The 22,995-nt window shown below is 36.8% G+C and overlaps 1 protein-coding gene across 16 annotated transcripts in view, besides 1 other annotated feature; it reads right to left on the bottom strand.

Moving 5' to 3' along the window:
- The window catches only part of RANBP17 (RAN binding protein 17), a 437,998-nt gene that overhangs the window by 82,329 nt on the left and 332,674 nt on the right, over positions 1-22,995 (bottom strand). For 7 of the 16 annotated variants that reach the window (XR_007058628.1, XM_011534627.2, XM_017009738.2 and 4 more), the window contains 3 exons: positions 17,914-18,017; positions 12,075-12,163; positions 3,949-4,068 (listed from right to left, as the gene is read on the bottom strand). Coding sequence is in view for 15 of the 16 variants with exons in the window: in XM_011534627.2 (XP_011532929.1) it covers positions 3,949-4,068; positions 12,075-12,163; positions 17,914-18,017 (313 nt within the window). In the remaining variant the exon portion in view is untranslated. Of the gene's footprint in view, positions 1-3,948; positions 4,069-9,783; positions 11,065-12,074; positions 12,164-17,913; positions 18,018-22,995 lie in introns of those variants that run through there. The other 9 variants (NM_022897.5, XM_017009739.2, XM_047417530.1 and 6 more) reach the window with 3 other exon arrangements.
- Positions 14,673-16,701: an enhancer, noted in NCBI's record as "VISTA enhancer hs278". NCBI's record gives its function as "enhancer in: hindbrain (rhombencephalon)[6/11] | melanocytes[10/11]" and the evidence as "EXISTENCE:transgenic organism evidence [ECO:0001131][PMID:17130149]".

Raw genomic sequence — 22,995 nt, 5'->3', positions numbered from 1 at the left:
AATAAACTAGAAAATCTAGAAGAAATGGATAAACTCCTGGATACATACACCTTCCCAAGACTAAACCAGGAGCAAGTCAAATCCCTGAAAAGACCAATAACAAGTTCTGAAATTGAGGCAGTAATTAATAGCCTATCAACCAAAAAAAGCCCAGACAGATTCACAGCCAAATTCTACCAGAGGTACAAAGAGGAGCTGGTACCATTCCTTCTGAAGCTATTCCAAACAATAGAAAAAGACAGACCCCTCCTTAACTCATTTTATGAGGCCACCATCATCCTGATACCAAAACCTGGCAGAGACACAACAAAAAAATAAAATTTCAGGCCAATATCCCTGATGAACATCGACGTGAAAATCCTCAATAAAATACTGGCAAACAGAATCCAGCAGCACATTAAAAAGCTTATCCACTACGATGAAGTTGGCTTTATCCCTGGGATGCAAAGCTGGTTCAACATATGCAAATCAATAAACATAATCCATCACATAAACAGAACCAATAACAAAGTCACATGATTATCTCAACAGACGCATAAAAGGCCTTCGATAAAATTCAACATCCCTCCATGCTAAAAACTCTCAATAAACTAGGTATTGACGGAACATATCTCAAAATAATAAGAGCTATTAATGACAAACCCACAGCCAATATCATACTGAATGGGCAAAAACTGGAAGCATTCCCTTTGAAAACCAGCACAAGACAACGATGCCTTCTCTTACTACTCCTATTCAATGAAGTACTGGAAGTTCTGACCAGGGCAATCAGGCAAGAGAAAGAAATAAAGGTTATTCAGATAGGAAGACAGGAAGTCAAATTGTCTCTGTTTGCCGATGACATGATTGTATATTTAGAAAACCTCATCGTCTCAGCCCAAAAACTCCTTAAACTGATAAGCAATTTCAGCAAAGTCTCAGGATACAAAATCAATGTGCAAAAATCACAAGCATTCCTATATACCAACAATAGACAGGCAGAGAGCCAAATCATGAGTGAACTCCCATTTGTAATTGCTACAAAGAGAATACAATACTTAGGAACAGAACTTATAAGGGATGTGAAGGACCTCTTTAAGGAGAACTACAAACCAGTACTCAAGGAAATAAGAGAGGACACAAACAAATGGAAAAACATTTGATGTTCATGGATAGGAAGAAATCAGTATCATGAAAATGGCCATCCTGCTCAAAGTAATTTATAGATTATAGATTAAATGCTATTCCCATCAAGCTACCAGTATCTTTCTTCGCAGAACTAGAAAAAACTACTTTAAATTTCATATGGAACCAAAAAAGGGCACGTATAGCCAAGACAATCCTTAGCAAAAAGAACAAAGCTGGAGGGATCATGCTACCTGGCTTCATACTATACTACAAGGCTACAGTAACCAAAATAGCATGATACTGGTACCAAAACAGATATACAGACCAATGGAACAGAATAGAGGCCTCAGAAATAACACCACACATCTACAACCATCTGATCTTTGACAAACCTGACAATAACAACCAATGGAGAAAAAATCTCCTATTTAATAAATGGTGCTGGGAAAACTGGCTAGCCATATGAAGAAAACTGAAACTGGACCCCTTACACCTTATGCAAAAATTAACTCAAGATGGATAAAAGACTTAAACGTAAAAACCAAAACCATAAAAATCCTAGAAGAAAACCTAGGCAATACCATTCAGGACATAGGCATGGGCAAAGACTTCATGATGAAAACACCAAAAGCAATTGCAACAAAAGCCAACATTGACAAACGGGATCTAATCAAACTAAAGAGCTTCTGCACAGCAAAAGAAACTATCATCAGAGTGAACAGGCAACCTACAGAATGGGAGAAAATTTTTGCAAGCTACTCATCTGACAATGGTCTAATATCCAGAATCTACAAGGAACTTAAACAAATTTACAAGAAAAAAACAAACAACTCCATCAAAAAGTGGGCACAGGATATAAACAGACACTTCTCAAAAGAAGATATTTATGTGGCCAACAAGTATGTGAAAAAAAAGCTCATCATCACTAGTCATTAGAGAAATGCAAATCAAAACCACAATGAGATACCATCTCATGCCCATTAGAATGGCGATCATTAAAGAGTCAGGAAACAACAGATGCTGGTCAGGCTGTGGAGAAACAGGAATGCTTTTACACTGTTGGTGGGAGTGTAAACTAGTTCAACCATTGTGGAAGACAGTGTGGTGATTCCTCAAGGATCTAGAACCAGAAATATCATTTGACCCAGCAATCCCATTACTGGGTATATACCAAAGGATTATAAATCATTCTACTGTAAACATACATGCACATGTATGTTTACTGCAGCACTATTTGCAATAGCGAAGATTGGAACCAACCCAAATGCCCATCAATGATAGACTGGATAAAGAAAATGTGGCACATATACACCACGGAACACTATGCAGCCATAAAAAAAGAATGAGTTCATGTCCTTTGCAGGGACATGGATGAAGCTGGAAGCCATCATTCTCAGCAAACTAACACAGGAACATAAAACCAAACACCACATGTTCTCACTCATAAGTGGTAGTTGAACAATGAGATCACATGGACACAGGTAGGGGAACATCACACACCGGGGCCTGTTGGGGGATGGGGGGCAAGGGGATGGAAAGCATTAGGACAAATACCTAATGCATGTGGGGCTTAAAACCTAGGTGATGGGTTGGGTTGATAGGTGCAGCAAACCACCATGGCACATGTATACCTATGTAACAAACCTGCATGTTCTGCACATGTATCCCAGAACTTAAATTTAAAAAAAAAATCATCTGCCTGTGGCTGACATAAAATACTTTATAATATACAATGCAATGATTTTTTCCCTTTAGTATTAAATGTTCTATCAGTAATACATAATATTAATTTTCTGGTTAAAAAAATGGAAATATAATTAAAAAGCAAACTAAATTTTTAATATAAAATACAAAGCCACCCTTCCTTTAAGGCACCTATGAGAGTGGCTTTTAAAAATGAAAAGCTTTAAAAAAAATGATACACACATTTCTTTATTTGCAAGGTCTTTCTTCATCTCTTGTTTTAGGGTAAAAACTTTAAATTATTGCTGTGAAAAACTCAGCACCAGAGATAACATTAGAGCTGCAACCCATACCCTTCCCTGTCTGGATACCTCCCTTCTAAACACATAGTTTACAAAGGGCAACTCATGAAACAGGATGGCTAAGTGACATGTAATTTGGTGCTAAGCCATATCCACAATGACATATTTTAAGCCCAATTAGCTTATTGCCAGATTTTCTCTTTTAGCTACATCTTTGTTAATATTTATATGGAGAATATTTGAATTTCTGCCAGTCTATGCAAATTATAAGGTCAACTGGGCAATTTCAGAGAAGTATTATAGTTGCTCTCTCAATGAAAACTGTGAGTGTATAAATCATCCAAATACATGCATCTTGGCATAAAGGAAGAAGTATAGCTTAGAAGTGAAAGCAGGAATAATTCCCAGAGCTTCTGAGGCAAACTATGTTCCCATGAATTGAATTGCTGTGAGAACCAGTTTCCTTATCCATCAAATAAAGCATCTCAACTCAGAGACCTCTAAACTTCTTTCCTGCTTTAAAATTCTATAGAATTGCATTTAAGCACTGAAATAGTTAAAATAGCTGCCCTCCCTTCATTTCGTACCTTTGAATTTTTAAATAATGGTGGCTGCAGTCTTCCAATTTATTTTCCATTTCCCTAGTCCCCATAGACAGCCAAGTATACTGTACTTTTTTCTCTCAAAAGGCCTCAATCGTATGTCTCTAATTCTGTTTTCACTAATCATCTTAAGTCTTGGTTCCTGGGCTCTTGCTAACTACCTTGGAAAGACACAAACCAAAAAAGAAAGTCTGACTGTTGGAGATTTCCGCTAATAGTAGACTGTTTTTCTCACTGCCTGTCACACTGCTTACCTGTTTTGCATAAGTTCTGCCATAAGTTTCAAGATGGGAGTTGTACATGTTGGCTCTCCATACCACCGTTCAACAGCATTCTGAAGAAGGGGAAGGTACGTTGGGTACCTTTTATAAAGCCTGTTAAAGAATTTAAGGGTCTAAAGAAATACTGTTTCTGAAAATTAGTGCCACACACATACACACACACAAAAGGGAATCCACATTTGTTCTATATTTATACTAATTTGTTCTATGTCTATACTATACAATGGCATTTTATAAATTGCGCTCCCTAACCTGCACAGATATACATACATTTTTGGGGTTGCTGGCAATTTGTTCTTATTTGTAACATGTCCTACACGTTATATTACTTTGTTCTTAGAATACTGTATAAATAAAATACACATTTTTAAAGTATCATATAAGCAGTACATTTAAAGATTTATGCCTAATGTTGTAGGAAAGGAAAATAAATTTAGTGAATGAGGATAAAAATATATTTGAGTTATTATTATCAGTTTCTTGGGTACTATACTACTTAGAAAAATATTTTTATTATGAAATTAATAAATATGTAAAAGTAGAAGGAACTAGTAATAAACCTCACATATCTCTCAGTTTCAAAATTACATTATTCTTTTTAAAAAAATATTGTTGAATTGCTCTTTTTGGTCTCACTGTAGCTCCAAGGAATATCTGGGATGTTGGCTTGACGAAAAGCTTTGAGTAACTATTAATCTACTCAACATCAGTGTCACTAAAGATAGTCCCATGTACACACAAGGAGACATTCTCTAACATCCTTATTAATGCTAAGGAGTATATGCCTCTGATAAATCTATGCTGAAGGCCATCAGAACCTGGAAAACTGACCCAGCTCCACTGGCCCTTTAATTTACACTGGGTATCTCCTTGCCAAGTAGACATATGAATATAGGATTAAGGTCCCAAACTGTAGCAGAAAAACTCTATGTCACTGCCTTAATTTCTCTTTTCTTTTCCCAATCCTCAAGTCTCTTTCCGATGTTTTCCAACATACTTGTCTTTTGTTTCAGATCAAAATGCTCAACTAAATCACTTAATGGTGTTTCTTTTCAGTGTGGTCCGGGTAGAAATCTCCATGGTGAGGTCATCACAATTTTCTTCCTTGCTCTTAGAATAAATTTCAAACTCCGTAGCACGGTGTTCAAGGTCCTTTAAGATTTGGTTCTTGGCTACCTCCAGCTTCATCTCTTAGCATTTCTGCTCTATGATTTAGCTTTTCATAACTCCCTGCAAAACCACTAATGCCAGCTCTTATCTCCATTCCCTTATAAACCACTTCTTCTCTCTAACATATCCCTGTCTTTCAATACCTAGCTCAAGTTTTACCTCCCATGGGATGTTTTCTCTATTTTATCCAAAGGCATCAGTCTCTTCCTCATCTATGTTCAATGAGCACTCATGACCATATCTCTCTTACAACACAGTATGTTAGGGTTGGTTGCTTGTGTTATTTGTCTGCCCCATTAGATAGTGCATTTCTAAAGAGCAGAGACCCTATCATCTTCCTGCTAATTTCTATTTGAATGTCAGATTTCAATATAGGTGTCAATTATCCCAGGAGGCCTTCTCTGACATCACATGCACTTGCCTCCTACCTCTCCCTAATGGGTTAGGAGTGTCTCCTGTGTATGGTGGTGGAACCCGGTGCTAGCACAATCATAGTACTTGTATATCTCTCCTATTATAAGCTTTTTGAGGGCATATACTAAGTACTTATTGAATGCATGGCCTGACACAAAATAGATTTCAATACATACTTGTTGCTATAAACTTGCAACCTAAAAATGAAGTGTAGCTTATTTGATTAGAACTATTTAATTGTGTATTTCACTTGGGAGCTTTAGAAAACAGTTCACATGATGTTCAATGAAAATAAGGCATCTATAACTTTAAGAGTGGTATGCTTCCTAAAAGTGCAAAAAGCAACACTTTCTCCTATTAGACAGACATACCATGTTAAGGCTGCATTTGTATATACTGAAACAGTTTTCTTATCAACTATTTTCTGAAGTCCTATTCTATAACAAGCATTGTTTGACACTTTCCAGAGACACCAGTAAAAAAAAAAAAAAAAAAAAAACCCTGCCCTCATGGAATTTATATTCTAGTAAACAAAATAAATACACATTAGAAAGTACTTCAAAGAAAGTCGGGCATGGTGGCTCACACCTATAATCCTAGCACTTTGGGAGGCTGAGGTGGGTGGATCACTTGAGGCCAAGGGTTCGAGACCAGCCTGGGCAACATGGTGAAACCCTGTCTCTACTAAAAACACAAAAATTAGCCAGGCATAGTGGCGCTCGCCTGTAATCCCAGCTACTTGGGAGGCTGAGGCACAAGAATTGCTTGAACCCGGGAGGCGGAGGTTGCAGTGAGCCAAGACTGCACCACTGCACTCCAGCCTGAGTGACAGAGTGAGACTCTGTCTCAAAAAAAAAAGTACTACAAAGGAAAATAAGGCAGGGAAGGGGGATAAGAAGAGAGTGTATATGTGAGAATAAGGTTTCAGTTGGATGAAAATAACAAAAATAAAGTCAATCCACTTGATTAACTTTATTTTGACTGTTATCAGACAACTTACTGTTTTGTTTCTATGGACCAGAAAAGCTGTTATTTTTGATAGATGTAGATACCATGTGCTATGTACTATGCTAAGGGCTGGGGATCCAGAGTTAAGAAAGGTATAGCCTTTTTTTTTTTTTTTTTTGACGGGGTCTTGTTCTGTTGCCAGGCTGGGGTGCAGTGGCGCAATCTTGGCTCATTGCAACTTCTGCCTCCTGGGTTCAAGCGATTTTCCTGCCTCAGCCTCCCAAGTAGCTGAGACTACAGGTGAGCACCACCATGCCCGGCTAATATTTCTATTTTTAGTAGAGACGGGGTTTCACCATGTTGGCCAGGATGGTCTCGATCTCTTGACCTCATGATCCACCCACCTTGGCCTCCCAAAGTGCTGGGATTACAAGCATGAGCCACCATGCCCGGCCAGGAAGATATAGCTTTTAATCTTGGGGAACACATGCTCAAATTAGGGTGACCAACATATAATAGGGATGCTTTGAGTACAGAAATTCTGAACCAATGCCACAGGGGTACAGGTGAGAAAATATTCCACCAAGGGACCTCCTGAGCACAAACTCATTAGTGGGAATGCATCTGGAAGGCTCATGAGAAAATGGATTCAACCCAAATCTCAGAACCTAAGAATATCAGAGGCACACATAGGCCTCTGCAAGGCATCCTATAATGGCATTAGGACCAGGATATTTTTCAGAGCACACAGTATTCACTACGGGATAAGGCAGGGAGATATAAGGGGATGCTCCTTTTTCTGTGTGGAATGAGAGTGGTGCCAATTCTAATATGCTTCTGACAGAGGTGACTGCCACAGAGAAAATGAGGGATTATTGGAAAGCACAATAGAGAGGTTAAAAGGGCTGCAGAGTGAGAGTGCCAGGCTCAATTACAGGGTGAGAACCAGAACCCACTCTAGGAGTTTAATTTTCCAATGGCCTTGTGAGGACTATGTACATATGAGTAGGAAGAAGAGAATGGGAGCCCTTAGGTAGAAGAAGCACAGATCTAATTGCTTTCACTGAGATCTTCTCTATGAATTTCTAAGGTCCACATCAGATAAATTAAAAATCAAAGGCATTAATGATGTGACACTGCCTTACAGGATACCAAATATGAAAATGTGAAAAGTATCAAGTTTGCTTCTTTACAATATCTATCCATCCATCCATCCGTCCGTCTGTCCGTCCGTCCATCTATTCATCAGTTGTTAATACCAGAAGGCAAAAGAATTTTCATTAAAAGTGTTAGGAGACAAGGGTTTGGGGATGTGGTTCCAGAATAGAAATAGCTTGCCAGTTCAGAGCTTAAAGGTACTCCATGAATATGTAAACATCTGGACCTTTGTTCACAAGGGGACTGCTGCTGGAAGCCTTTCCTCTTATGTCTGGCAAATGCCTATCCATCTTTCAAGGCTTTGCTCAACTTTCACTTCTCTTGAGAAGCTTTCTATATCTTGCAAAAAGCACTGCTCTTTTTCCCATACATGCTCATATAGCCCTTTGCATGCATCTCTGTTATAACGCACTGACATTTTATTGTTTATTAGTCATGTGTGATCAACTAGAGAGTGGGCTTCTAAAGAGCAATCATTTTATTCATTCTTTCATTCCTTTTGTCTGGCACAGAAATAAAACTAAAAAAAAATAGCTTGCTGAACAGTGAATTTTCAGCTTTACTTTCTTCTCTATTTCAGTTTGCCCAAAATGATACTGCCAATTACTTTCTTCTTGAAAACAATTCTGATTTTCTTAGTCAATCAAAACCATTAGTTTCTTTATACTACCTATGGAATAAGGGTCTAAATTCCTTAGACTGATATTCAAGAGTCCCAAACAAACTACATTTCCAACCATGAAATGAGTGGTATATGTAACAAAACATCTTCACTACTGACTCCCTAAACCTGATGCCTAGGCCAACCGAAAACCTGTATTTCTTCCTATTTCCATATGGTCCAATCCTACTTATTTGGTTAAGACCCAAGGAAACACCTTCACCTTTCCAGAGAGCCCTTCCTGATTCCCCAGCTAAATGCACTCACTGTCCTGTTTGTATCTTTGTTATGGTTCTTAGCACTTTCTATATTTGATTATAGTAATTTATGTAAATAAGAAACTGACTTTGTTTGGGGTAGTATCTATACTCCTCATGAACCTAGCACAGCCCTTAGCCCACTTTGCTGAATAAGTGAGCAAATGGGATTCCTTTGTCTCATTATGTATCAGGGAACAGAACTAACAACAGCTGTAGAGTATTTACTTTATGTCAGCCACTGTACTGGGCCCTTTACATAATCACAGAATCATGACACTTCTTACAACATACCTGTGAGATAGGTTTTATTAGTCTTGTTTTATGGAAAGCGAAATTGTGATTCTGGGATATTAAGTAGCTTACTCAAGACCCACAGTTTAAGTGGTGAATCCAGGACTGGAATCTAGGACTGTCCTATTCCAAAGTTTGTGCTCCTCTATGTATCTTGTTATCTTGCCTTGCCACTGTATAACAGCACTGACTTCCTGATTAAAAATCAGTGAGTTCAATGATCAGATTTTAACAGTTAAAAGACTGCATATGAGGAAATAATGTCATACAAATTCTTAATTTTTTTCCCAACTTCCCTCTGGATTTTTGATACTTCAGTTTAAGTATGATCTAGGAAAATTTTAAACAAGGAGATCAGATGCACTGCAAGCTAAGGTGTTTTCTTATTGTTGCATTCCCATCATAGGGGCAAAGAAGTATGTCAATGATCTTCCTTCAATTCTCCAGCCCTGGAAACCATTTATCAAGATGGTTGCTGTGTAGTTTCAGGCAATTTAGTTTTGGAAGGACAGAGTGAAAAGCAATGTAGTTTGTGTGGCAGTTAATGCAGTCAGTGTTTATAGAAATGTTTTTGAATTAAATAGCTAACCACTAAAATAGCATTTTATCAAATAATCGCCATAAATAAAATGCATTTTGACTTTAAGATGACATGTGCTCTTACAGGATGTTTCTTCTGCATGCTAAGGATTGTATAACAAATTAAAGAACACACATTTATGTGGATAAAAGGCAAATAAACTTTCCCCAGCAGTAATGTGGAAATCATCACTGACGGTTTGACATATCAATATTTCAGGAAAAATAAATGACTTTCATATCCATGGCATTTTTTTATCATACTTATTCATTTTTGCATTACTTGAATACTTTGAAAAGAATCTGTACTTTATCACCTGAAACTGCTTAAAGTATTTCAAAATATTTTAATAAAGCTTTTTGAATTATCAAATAATATAACTTTTAAACAAATTTTACTATTATTATAAATATTTGCTCTTCATCCCTCGCCCAAAGGAAAACTATAAATCTTGTCTCAACTGAATGAACACCATTTATCATATTCATTTTGTTGTCAATACAATTATGAAAAGCCCTTGGCCTTTTCCCAAGGAAGCTGATTTGCTACTGAAACTCAATTATTATAAGCAACGCCAGTACCAAACCACCCCATTTGGCAATCTAACACAGCTTCTGGCATAACTGACACTTCTCTCCGCCCCTGACCCTGATAACTTCAACATCTATGGTCAAATGGAGGAGACAAAGGTTTCTAGTTCACAAGAAAACATTAAGTCCCAAGATTTTCCGTTTGCTATTTTCTGCCATCTGCTGGACAAAAGTTTCATTTCAGAAAGGTTCCCCCGCTACCCCCAAAGGAGCTAAATAAGGAAATGGAAAACAATACAGTATCTTCTCTAAATTTTGGGCAGTATCAATTACGGCAGATAGTTCTTCTTTGACACTGAGGGGAAGGTTTCTGACCTTGACTCTTGGTTGAAACTGTTGAAGAGAAAAACATGAAATGTTAATCACTAGATAGCCTAGAGTTGTAGACTGGTTTCAAGATCACCATCGATATTACAGTGCCCAAAGTAGACTTTTATTATTTTTCAAATAATGAAAATTTTGATTTTGAGAGTTGCTCTTTATGTTTAGAGAAATAAAAGAGTCAAGCTGGGTGCAGTGGAGCACACCTGTAGCACCACAGTCCCAGCTAGTCAGGAGGCTGAGGTGGGAGGATCGCTTGAGCCCAGGAGTTTGAGTCCAGCCTGAGCAACATACAAGACCCCGTATCTTAAAAATTAAAAAAAAGGCAGAAATAAAAGGGTCATATATAATTCCAGTTTAACTGTCACTGTTAAGAGAATTTTAAGACTTTCCATGTTGAAATTTCATAATCTCTGTACATATTATATGTAGATAAAAACCATGTGCATGATTACTCAATGACATAAAAATTTTATCTGTAACCCTTCTCTGGGTACATAAATCTGATGAAGTATATTTTAATAATAATTAAAGATATGTCAGTATCAAATTAATGTTTAAAAATTTTTATAATATGTAGAGTTCTCCCTAAAACATGCCTAGATCCCCTATTAGTTATATTTTTGGCCATAACTGTGGCATAGTAGTTGACAGTTACCTTTAAGAAGTTTCTATTGCAATTTAATTTACAGGAAACTTTGGATAAGGAGGGTTTAAAAAAAGTAACTGAGAAATAGTTTAGATTAAAAAGTAAATTAGCTTTCAGATTATATAATTTTTTTCACATGCTCTGATGGTTTCATGCATAAAAGACATGAAAGCATTATATAACACTTAGATGACTTGCATACAATATCACTTCCTGCTGGGATCAAACATAAGTCATACAACACTATTAGAACAATATTAACGACCATTTACAACTACCAAAAATGTGCCAGACATTATACAGAGTACACTTTACCTATTTTAATGGTTACAATATACCATGATACTGAATTGTATCTGTTTTCAAATGAGAAAACCAAGACTCAGACAGGTGAAATGACTTGCCAAGGTTCACAACACAGTAAATGAAGAGCTGGGATTTTAAGCCGGGTCTGTCTATCACCAAAGTCTATGCTCTTTTAACTCTTACATGATAAGGCATTTCTGTGGGGGGTTTTTTTTTTTTTTCCTGTCTGTACTAACCCTTGGCAAAGGTCAATTCAAATTTTACACCAAATGACAAACCTTGACTTATTTATTTTTCCCTTTCCATGTCCATTCATTATCTTCATGATAATGAAAAACTGTGGCATGATGGGTTAGGCCTTGAAGAGATAAAATGATCTTCCCAGCCTTGCTAATTGAGATGGAGATTCAAATCTCCCCTCAAAAATGTCAAATGGTAGGATTCATTGATCCCTAAAGATGTTAGCCAGATTATCCCTTCAACTCCAACATAAACAATCATTTGGGGGAAGTCATTTTTAAGTTATCAATATTTAACGGCACCAAAAAAGTGACTTCTCTGAGCTGGGTCTCCAAATACTGTGCTCAGTTATCTGCTCTGCTGCCACTGTGCTGTAATTTTTAGCTGATTACACATTAGTTCATTTAGCTTTGTTTCCTCTTCCCTACTGTGCCATACTATTAAACGAAAGCGAGGGGCCTGGCATCCCTCTGTGCACAGAGCTGGTATTGTCACAGTGTAATAAGGATACATCCAGTCAAACAGCATGGTGTAGCTGGTCTTTGTGTTCAGTGCAAAGGCAATCCCTCGAAGATCTCTTGCCAGCCCGATCAACATACGCTGTCAGTGGGAAAGAGACACAGTAATTGATTTTCACGTTAGCGCAGAGCAGATGGAGTAATAATCAGGCAATAATGACCACATATCTGATTTTGATTCATTAGCTAAAATGTCTCGTTCAGACCTCTTTCTACAGAAAAGCACAGACTCTTTAAACAGACCATCAAATCTGCTGATCAACTCCACTTTACTTCTTATAAATTTAGCTAAGTCATAATTCCAGTAGTGTAGCTAAGCATTTAGAGTCTTAATATACTTTGTTTCTGAATAATGCCAAATCTGAAAAAAAAGATGAGGATTGATAATTACACAAAACAGATATGTACAGGGTCTAGACATTATTTAATAACAGCAAATCTTGAACATCGGCTTGCATGCAAGCGGCCCCACAACATAATTTAGAGTCTATCCTAGAAAGGCACTGGCATTTAAAAATTCCTAATGAATATCCTTAATAACTTCAGGACAAAATAAAACTGGCCAAGTGACCTACATGTACTATGATATACGCAGAATGGCAGTCACATTCCCCAAGTGAGGAAGATGTAAGGAAAAGAGTTCTATATTTGATGTCATAAGACTCGAATTTGAATCCCAGCTTTAAAACTTAAGGCAAGGCAATTTATCAGGCTTACTTTTGTCATCTATAAAAGGGGCTAATAATGCATTTCTCACAGAGGCACTGTGCCAAATAAATGTGATAAATTTATGTGAAAATGCCTAGCAGAGCTTGATACACAGTAAATGTTCCATAAGTATTTAGTTTTAGAGAAAAAAAACAAAAACTTGACTCTTGAATAGAAGAGATCTGACTTGTACTCTGGACTCTTAATTAAGCTGTCCTTAGGTTGATGCTTGGGAAGAGAAAAAGAAAACCCATGAACAGATGCTAGAATGTCGGAACAAAGAGCACAAATAAACATAATTACAAAACAAGGGGGTGCGATAATTGAGATATACAACTGTGACTTCTAAAGATACTGTTTCATTGCAAATACTCAGCTAGAAAATGGTCTCTGAACTTTTTTTTCTACCAGATTTTCTCCTTTCTCACACTTTGGTAATAAATGAAAACCTCTTTAGGAAGGAGTTCAAATTATTATTAAGCAAACAGTGAATCCTGACCCTCCTCTTAATGGCTGATTCAATTAATTTAATTTCAAAGTAGCAAATAATAGTTTAACTCTCAGAAGTATCTAGAATTTCTCATCTTCTCCATTCTTTCTGCCTAAGAGATGACTCAATATAACTGGATGTTATTTATAGGAATATTCAGTTTCTGCACTGTCTAACAGTTCACAGAATGATGGTTATCTGAATTTCTGAATCTTGAAAACTCTGAATTTTTGTTTCTGCTCCTTTAAATTACTTACTCCTTTTTTTCTCATACTCTCACCAGTTCTTATTTTTCTATAACCAGCTGGCCTCCTTGTAGTTCCCTCATGTAACCTGCTGCTTGTTTTTAAACATTTTGCCTTTTTATATAGCCTTTTTTCACCACCTGAAGCCTGTTCCTCTCTTTCTCAGCTTTTCACACTCCTGGAAGCCTCCAGAACAAAATACATCTTCTAAGAAGCCTTCTTCAAACTATTCTATTCTGACTCCTTGGCTTTGCAGTGTTTCTATTAAAGTAGGCTTTTTGTTCTATTTTTATTAGGTACACTTACAAGTTTCAGGCTATGCTTCAAATAATTTTAAGCTTCCACATACACATGAGATATCTACCATTTAAGTCTAAATTAGTCAACAAGAACCATGAGTTTTACTTTCTTTGTGTCTAGTACAAAGGGCTCTAAAAATATTTTAGACTATCCTCGTTATACAAAAATATTAATTTTTATTTTATCACAATTTTTTCATTCCTTAAACGATATCAAATTAATAGAAGTGGTCTATAGGACTCAAATCTATTGGCTTTTTTTTTAAAGTGGCAAAATGTGGCTATGAAATTATATCAATGTTTCATTCTAGAAAATGTTACTACAGAGGAAGCATATAATAATGTTTTAAATGAATTCAACTGAACAGAAAAATTCAGTGTTAATGTGAATAAGAAATAGATTTCTTATGCTCAAACAATATCTTTTATCTCAAAGCAGCAGATAATACTGCAATAATCTACATGGATACACAAACAACACTAAAGAGAGTGTTTTCTCAATAGCCAAAACATATCCAGCCCCCATATGAAAAAGGAAAGCTGTTAACTAAGAGCTCAACCAGCCTACTAAGTAATTTGAGCGTAAGAGGTGATCTTATTGAATTTGAGGAAAGGAGGAGCTACAGTTTACCATCTCATTTAAAATAGTGCAAAGAGTTTTATTTTAAAAGTTGCCTCTCTCCTATAGTTGGTCAACACAAGATTGGTCTGAAGAGTGACAGGCTCTTGTATTTTTAGTGAGGCTGTTTTGGGGAGTGGGATATGTCTGGAGATCTAACCCTATGGATTCCTTTTTGGGTAGTTAGGGAGAAACTGCTGAGTTCTTCAGTCTGCTGCATGGTGAACAGTTGTCTGTGTGCCAAGTGTGAGACGAATGGGCTGGGAAACAGCTGAAACGAGGCTCCTTCCACCCTGACCCCCAAAACAGGGTTTCTAATGGAAAGTCTCACAGACCCTTTACTGTAGTGGCACTACTGGGGGCAGCTATAATATTATCCTCATAATTCTACTATATAATAACAACAAAGAAAAAGAAGGTGAAGGGTCATTGTGCTTTGTCTTTAGAATTAAGATGGCTGTCTTCATCCTTACAGCATACTCTTAATTCTGAAGACACATCTTAATAACCTCTAAATAGTTCCAACAAAAGAGCCGTGTCAGAGGAATGAGCAGGCCCCAAGGTGTTTCAACTGGAGTGTTTTCATCTGCCTTTATTGCTCTATCCCTCTCCAGAATTAAGGCAATAACCTGTGATAAATTATTCAGGAACTGCTACAGGGATCAAAGCAAAATCATTCTGTTAAAGTGCTGTTTGCAACATTTGGCACTTAGTGCGAAAACTTTTAATGTGCGCATGCTGAAAATCAAGGATTTTAAATAATTTAACATTGTGGAGTTTTTACAAAAGGACTAAAGATAGCAGGTTCCTATTTAACTGCTTCTCTTTCTCTGAGAAGTTTTCATTCATTTTCCTTGAAACTGATGATGTCATGACCAAATCAAAAACGATGCACGAGTCAGGGGAGTACTGGACTATATTTTACCATGGACATAATTATAGGGGGAAACATACGTTTTGAAAGAGTACTCTAAAGCTAGGATTTGTCAGAGTATTTTTTCCTTTTCCCCTTTACTTTGAAGAGAAAAACCCAAGACAAAATTTCAATGTTTTCTTCAATTTTATTAAGAATAAGTAAGAAAATAAAGCTATAAATTTAACACTTTTGCTGCATTTCCTCCTCTAACAACTGTATTTCAATTTGGCAACACAGGTCCTTAATGTTTAAGTTTATCCTGAAATCTGCATTTGAAACTATCTATAAATAGGGAGTTAGAAAATGCTGGTAAGAGGTGCAAATTAAATGAATTTGGCAGTCCTGCGGCATTTTCATAGAGATATTTTAACAGCATCACCTCCTGTGGATTGGAATACTAAATACTTTATTGAAGAACAAAACAGAAATGTTTTTATCTCTAGTACTTGCAAAATGAAGTACCTGAAAGCACTTTTGCATGTATTATTTATTCATCGTGATAGAAAAATAGCCTTAACCTAATAAATTACATTTAAAAGCATTTAGTGCAAAAGTTTTGTTTATGATAAAGCAACAGATTTAGTTTTTTATCGGTAGCTTAAAGCACCAAGTTTTCTTTATACAAATTAGACAGATGGTGCTTACAGTAGAATTTACTAAAGGTCTGTCACAACAAATGCAGCCAAGCTGCATATTTAATCACTGCAGAATCTTGTCTACCTGCAGCTGCCAACTGCTAATCCAATTTCCCTGATAAATGTGGCAAGAGACACGATCAGCAATAAAGAGCATCTAACTCCATTTTCCTGCAGGGCGTCTTTTGATGAACATTTAGGACGGAAGCACGGAGTGCACTGTGTGGCCTTGGTTCGTGGCAGCTGCATGCATTCTGAGGCACAGTTCTCAGGTTACTCACTTAATTCTGCCACTATCATTACGTTGCTATTGATCTCAGTAGCTGTTGCCTACACAGCATTACTCTAGATGAAGCTGAATCAGGCAGTTATCATGCATCAAACTTGCTCAAAAGCCTGGAGATTTCCCCTTAATTACTTGTGATTTTATTTGCAAATACCGTTAAAGTGTAATCAAGCAGTCACTTTCCAGGGTCGTTAAGAACTTGCTGGTTTAGGGATATATCACTGGAACTCCATTAAAAATGACTCTAGGAAGATGGTTTCTATCAAACTAGATGGGATTACAACAAAATGGTCTTGGAATATAATGAAATCTTCAGATGAGACAGATGTAATTTTCATAAAGATGATGTTTTTCAACTTCACTGCTCCTTTTTGATAAAGGGCAGAAATAGCAACCTAAAAGCTGCAAAGATTTTGTTGGTCACTGAAAATATTTGGAAGACATCTAAAAGATACAGCTAACCTGAGTGGAAACTCTGGTGAAGAATTTCAGGAAGACTATAAACACAAACAGAATCTGTAAGATCCTTCTTTTGGTTTTAAAATTCTATAACTATAGCATGCTGATAAACATTAATTTCAAAAATTCTTTTAAATTAAGAGGTATAGCATTTGGCTGATTATTTTTTGGTAGAAGAATTACATAAAGATAATTATCAAAGGGTGTCATTTTTCTATTTGGCTTCTTACTGTTAGTTTTTTTGTTTTTGTTTTCTTTTTTTTGGTGAAGAGACACTATGCAAAAGATGGTTAATATTTCCAACATACTTCAAATAACTATGAAATATATGACTCAATTATCACCAACAAAGGTGTCTACATTCTCTGGAGTGCATTTATTAGTCTGTTAAAAATAATAATCAGTGTCAATTTATTTAATATTTCCCTGATACATTATAATTTCAGAAGATACTATTTCTATTTAGCAGTGCTTGTGCTTCCCATCCCCCTCCTTAAAATACGGGGCTGTTTTGTCACAGACAGCTTGCTACACTTAAGGATTTTACTAATAAAACATAATGTTGTCTTAGATATTATGACTGTTGCCACAGCTGAACTGACTTGTCAAATCAATCCTAATATGGCTCCCACAGGCACATAAAAACCTTATTTAGCTATCAGTTATCCTAATCACTTTGTTCCGTTTAAGAATGCAATACTTCAAGACCAGTTCCTATTTATACATATATGCCTAGCCATTTAATAAAGTCTTGATTTATATAAATTCTTGTTTAAAAAAATATTTAGAGATGTAGTGTTTTAGTATGTGTATGTTTGTGCATTCCTCCATATAGATCTGTTGTAACATAACAGTGCAGGATAGATGAGGGAATAGGGGTGTTTAAAGTGGTGTACCCACAAGAAATATCCTATTAAAGATAGTAACTGCCAGAGGAAACAAATCTATGTCATCTTATCATGAACTGACTGTCCAAAACTATTTGCTGACCTCAAAGTCCATTTGTCTAAGAAACTAGAAAAATGCTTAAATAAAAGTAAAAATTAAAGACATGCAATTGGGAAAGCAGGTCTGAGGAGGCAAAGAGTACACACAGATATGCAAAGCCCTTTTCTGGATCTAGATATCCTAGAAAAAACAAAACTGTCATTCCTCATATTTGGAAACAAACCCACCTTTACATCTTCTTGTTTAAAGTTGTTGTTGAATATTTGTAATACTGTTTCAAAAGCAACTGTAAGAGGCAGCATGAAATTCTCAAATTCATCCTCATCTTCACCTATCAGAGAAACAAAAGGGTCACTACGGTTTAAAATGCATAGAATTGTACATTGTCCTCAGCATTGAGTGCTTCATTTAGGCTTAGAAATATTCCCGAGAAGGGGTCAGCCTGCATTCACATCCATGCCACATTTTGTACTTTTGCTCACTGAATATTCTGGTGTTGTGCCTTCTCTTTTGCATCAAATGAAATAGCAAAATTACTTACCAGCCATTTTTTTTTTCCTGGTTCTTTAGTGGATCTAATAGACTCATGCCCCAGGCATCTCAGTCCTTTAGCTCCTAGGGCCCCTAGAGCTTCTCTAATGCCTCAAGGAAGACCACTTTCAAAGCCTCAGAGACGCAGTGTTTTTTTTTTCCCCCTTCTCTTTGGGTGCCAAGGCCCTAAAGGGCTCAAAGACTCAGGTGCCCAGATAGCTCTAAGTTATTATTCTCTTTTATTTATGTTCTTTTTAATTAATTTATCAAATAAATGGCAGGGAAACTTTTATCTGCCAAAAAGGATGGGGTCCCTTATGGGTCATTTGGATTTTAAATACATTCTCCATGGGTACACTTCTTACACTAAGCTTCCTTTTTTTTCTCTTTTTTTTTAAATAGAGAAGAGGGAAAAGAGACATTTCCTATTAACTTTTTACTTTAAAGGTAGACTGCAGTTTCCTCAAGGATTCTGTCAAAGCAGAATCTTCACTTCACACATGGATATGCACAATTGATAATTTATATAGTATTCTTTTTCAAAAGGGGTTTCTTTTAAATGAGAGATTGAATTCACTCATTCATCCTAAGTCACAGGGAGCTACGAGCTGCACTCTACTGAAGAAACAGGCAGAGAAAGGTTAAGTGTCTTGCTTAAGGTGGAATACTTAGTTGGAGGTGGAACGACATGGTTCAGACCTCCTAATTTCTATTCTAACAGTAGAGTTTTTCAATAGAGTATTAGAGAGGAAATGAGCTCAGAGAAGGTCCTCAAAGTTTGGTCCTTGACCTGGGAGCATCAACATCACTTGTGAACTTGTGAGATGTAAATGCCCAGGTTCCATCCCATATCTATTGAATCAGAAACTCTGGGGGTGGGTCCCAGCAATTTTGTTTTAATAGGCCCTCCAGATGATTCAGATGCCTGTGAATGTTCGAAAAACACTGGCATCTATAGTCATTTTTCAGACAAAGTAACGGAGGTCCTGGCAGGATCAAGATCTTTTGACTCTTAAGGAGTGGCTGATCTGGCTGACTCTAATCTTCTGTGATTTATCTCTTTCCTTCAATTTCACATTGTTTCAGGAGTACAACAGAATTGGGGACTTAGCTTTGTTACAAACAGATGCCAAAGGGCCAACAAATCTTTACTGGTGTGCCGTTCTAAACGAAGGTCAGTATCCTGAGTAAAGAGTAAGGCAGACCAAATTATAATCTCTTCTCTGTCAACTGGCTGTGTGACCAAGTGACTCCTCTTAGATACACTCTTCTCTGTTAACTGGTGATAACATAGACCTATACAGATGTTATTTTTCAAGGCCCAGGTGAAATAATATCTTTCCCAATGTCTAAGCTAAGCTTTCCTAAATCCCAATCAAGTTATCTCCCTTCTCCCTTTGGATTCCCATAGCATTTTGCCTGGCTTGTTTTGAGACGGAGTCTTGCTCTGTCATCCAGGCTGGAGTGCAGTGGCACGATCTTGGCTCACTGCAAGCTCTGCCTCTCAGGTTCACGCCATTCTCCTGCCTCAGCCTCCTGAGTTGCTAGGACTACAGGCGCCTGCCACAACGCCCGGCTAATTTTTTTGTATTTTTAGTAGAGATGGGGTTTCACCGTGTTAGCCAGGATGGTCTTGATCTCCTGACCTCGTGATCCGCCCGCCTCGGCCTCCCAAATTGCTGGGATTACAGATGTGAGCCACAGCGCCCGGCCGCCTGGCTCTTAACTATTGTACCGGTCTGCCTTGAATTGCAGATATTTAAGCATACATCTAATAATAGCAACAATAATACCACTTACATTATACCACAACTACCATCTGATCAGGGTTACTGCGGGAACTAAATGAGATAAAATTTATAAAGTATACATGTAAATTACTAGCTCTACTAGCTTACGCTGATAGTATCTTCGGATTAGCTTCTATGGCACTGAGACTGTGTATCTTTGAGTTTCTCAGTGAAGGAGAATTATGTAGGGCTCGGCAGTAAACAGGTCCAGGTGTCTGACTTTACCGTATATTATTTACCTTTGGATATTTTACTAATTACTCTGAGTCTCAGTTTCCTCATCTATAAAATAAGTATAAAAATACTTATCATTGAGGGTCACTGTGAAGATTAAATGTTATAATACATGGAAAACAGAAGATGCTCAATAAATATTAGTGGTGATACTAGCACTATAGTATTAGCACAGAATAGAGCCTGGCATTATTAGGGAAATACTGTGTTTAGATAAAAAGTAATTTCTCAATTAAGGTGAATTTTAGAACATCTTTATTTTCTTAACACTTGACATAGAATAATACAATAAATAATTGAAATATACATTATCAAATCCTAAATACATAAAATATATGCTCATTATACTTAAGCCATGTAATCTTACTCTTCTAAGATAAAGTATTTTCTAAATGTGGAATTATTAATGAGAACAGTGGTAACTACCACTGCAGGCATGTAATGGTGCTAGAAAGAATGGATGCTTTGAAATTACAAAGTTTATCTAAGCTTAGCTGGGAGCAGTGGTGAATGCTTATAATCCTACCTACTTGGAAGCTGGGGTAGGAGGATCCCCTGGGCCCAGGAGTTTGAGACCAACCTGGGCAACATAGTGAGATCTCGTCTCTTAAAAAAAAGAAAAAAAAGTTTATCTATGCTTGAATCCTGGCTCTGCCACTGTTAGCTGTCTGGTTTTGGATAAAGTCACTTTAGTCATCAAAGCCTTAGTGTGCTCACCTGTAATTAAGAGACATAATATTTACTTCATAAAGTTAGCCATGAGAATTAAGTAAATGACAAAACATCTGTAACCACCCCCTCGCCCCATCCCCCTGCTCAGTGTCTGGTACTTAATAAATGACAGCCATTAGCACTATTGTTGTCTTGAGTCTAACATGGACTTAGAGAGGTGATTACGGTGATCAAAAAAAGTATAACTGCAAGATTGCCAGCCCAGTGCCCTTCCTTTGGGAACAAAGTTTTCCAAGGTAAGGATGCTTGTTCAGAACAAAGACAAATTCAGACTTTTAACATTTCAACTCCTAACTTAATATTCTGAGCGACAGATAAAAAAACTTTCTGATTCCGTCTCTTTCTCCATTCAAATTTTAAGGCAAACAAGGATAGCAGGAGCACAAGAGACAAGCCACCAAAATGTGCAGGGAGAAGTCAAGGAGCAAATACTATAAATACAGTAATGTGAACAGCAATTCTACTTAACTGTCACTTCCTCAGAGAGGCCTTCCCTGACCACTCTATCTAAAATGGTAATCACAGTTCCCCTCCCGCCACATCACTTTCCAACCCCATAACCTGCTTTACTTTTCTTATGGGACTTACTATACTGGCCATTCATTGACATATTTATTCATTTGTTGTTTATCCTATTAGGACGTAAGTTCCCTGGGAAGGAAATTGTTCTATTTCCATCACAGAGTATCCCCAGTGCCTTGAATAAGGTCTGACACTCAAGAAATGTTTGTGGATTGACTAAATAACAGCTGTTATTCCTTGAGTGCTTACGCAGGCAATGGATTTGGTACTTTATTTGCTTAAAAAACACTTATGTGGCTCTTACTGTTTTCAAAGTACTGTTGCAAGTCATTACTGTTCAGAACAATCTCATGAAGTTGTACGATTTTCTTCATTTTACATGTGAGCAGAGAGACTCAAAGGAATTAGATAGCCTGCCCAACATCCTCCAGCTGGTAAATGTCAGCGAGCCAGGATTCCCAATCAGGTCTGCTTTACTCCCAAGCTCATGCTTTTCCAGGTCTCTGATAAGGTGGAAGGCATCAGAGATGGGGACTAATGTTATTGTCACAGAATCCTAAATTTGGAGCTGCATGAAGTCAGAAGAGAGTGAAGATCAGCCAGCTTGGTTCTGGTGAGGAAAATGGAATTCCTAGACAATCACTTGGGTTTAAAGTAGGCAAATATAAGACATTGGTGCATTATACTATAGAAATGTTTACGTTTTTAGTCAGCACTGTTCCTGTGATTGCAACGTGAAATGTTGTGCCACCAAAGCTGGAGAACTGGATATTGTTGTTTATATCATGCAAACAACTTTTACAACATTACTATTAGAGATTTTTCTAATCTGTATTACCATACAGGTATCATTTACTATTTCTGGTGCAAAAGGAGAAAACATGAGCTCACTTTCTTACAACTTCATATTCAAGTATGTAGTCATATATTTAGTGTTCCAAATGTATATATGATTATTTTATGAATAATAATTGAAGCTGTTAGTTTTTTTCTTAATAAGACAAAGGTACAGAAACCAATATGATTTGAAGGTAAAGTGCCAATTTATAGACTAATATTTTCATTGCCATCAGGAAAAGTAAATGTGAACATAACATTGTAAGTTCTCAGTCATGTATAGATAAAAATTATAAATTCCTTAGCTTTTAGGTAAAACCCAAAGCTAATCACCTCCGCTGTGTCTCTGAGAATATGTTTAAACAGAAAGTTATTCATTTTGTAAGTTCTAAACATTTTTTTTCCTTCAGAGACATCACATTAAAATATAAGAGTAACTGTTTTAGTATGTTGGCTGGCAGATATTTTGTTTGTAGGACATTTCATTTATTATTTTGTACAATTTAAAACCTCCAGGGGTGGAAATGTAAAATGCTACAACCATTGTTAATATGGTGTAGTCACTGTGGAAAACAGTTTGGCAGTTGCTTAAAAAATTAGAGTTGCCAGTTGACCCAACAATTTTACTCCTAGGTATCTACCCAAGAAAACTGTAAATATTTG

This window comes from Homo sapiens, chromosome 5 (genome assembly GCF_000001405.40).
Source record: "Homo sapiens chromosome 5, GRCh38.p14 Primary Assembly".
In the NCBI taxonomy this organism is placed as follows: domain Eukaryota; kingdom Metazoa; phylum Chordata; class Mammalia; order Primates; family Hominidae; genus Homo; species Homo sapiens.
Note: the sequence above shows the minus strand (reverse complement) of the source record. Positions and strands in the feature narration are given on the sequence as shown.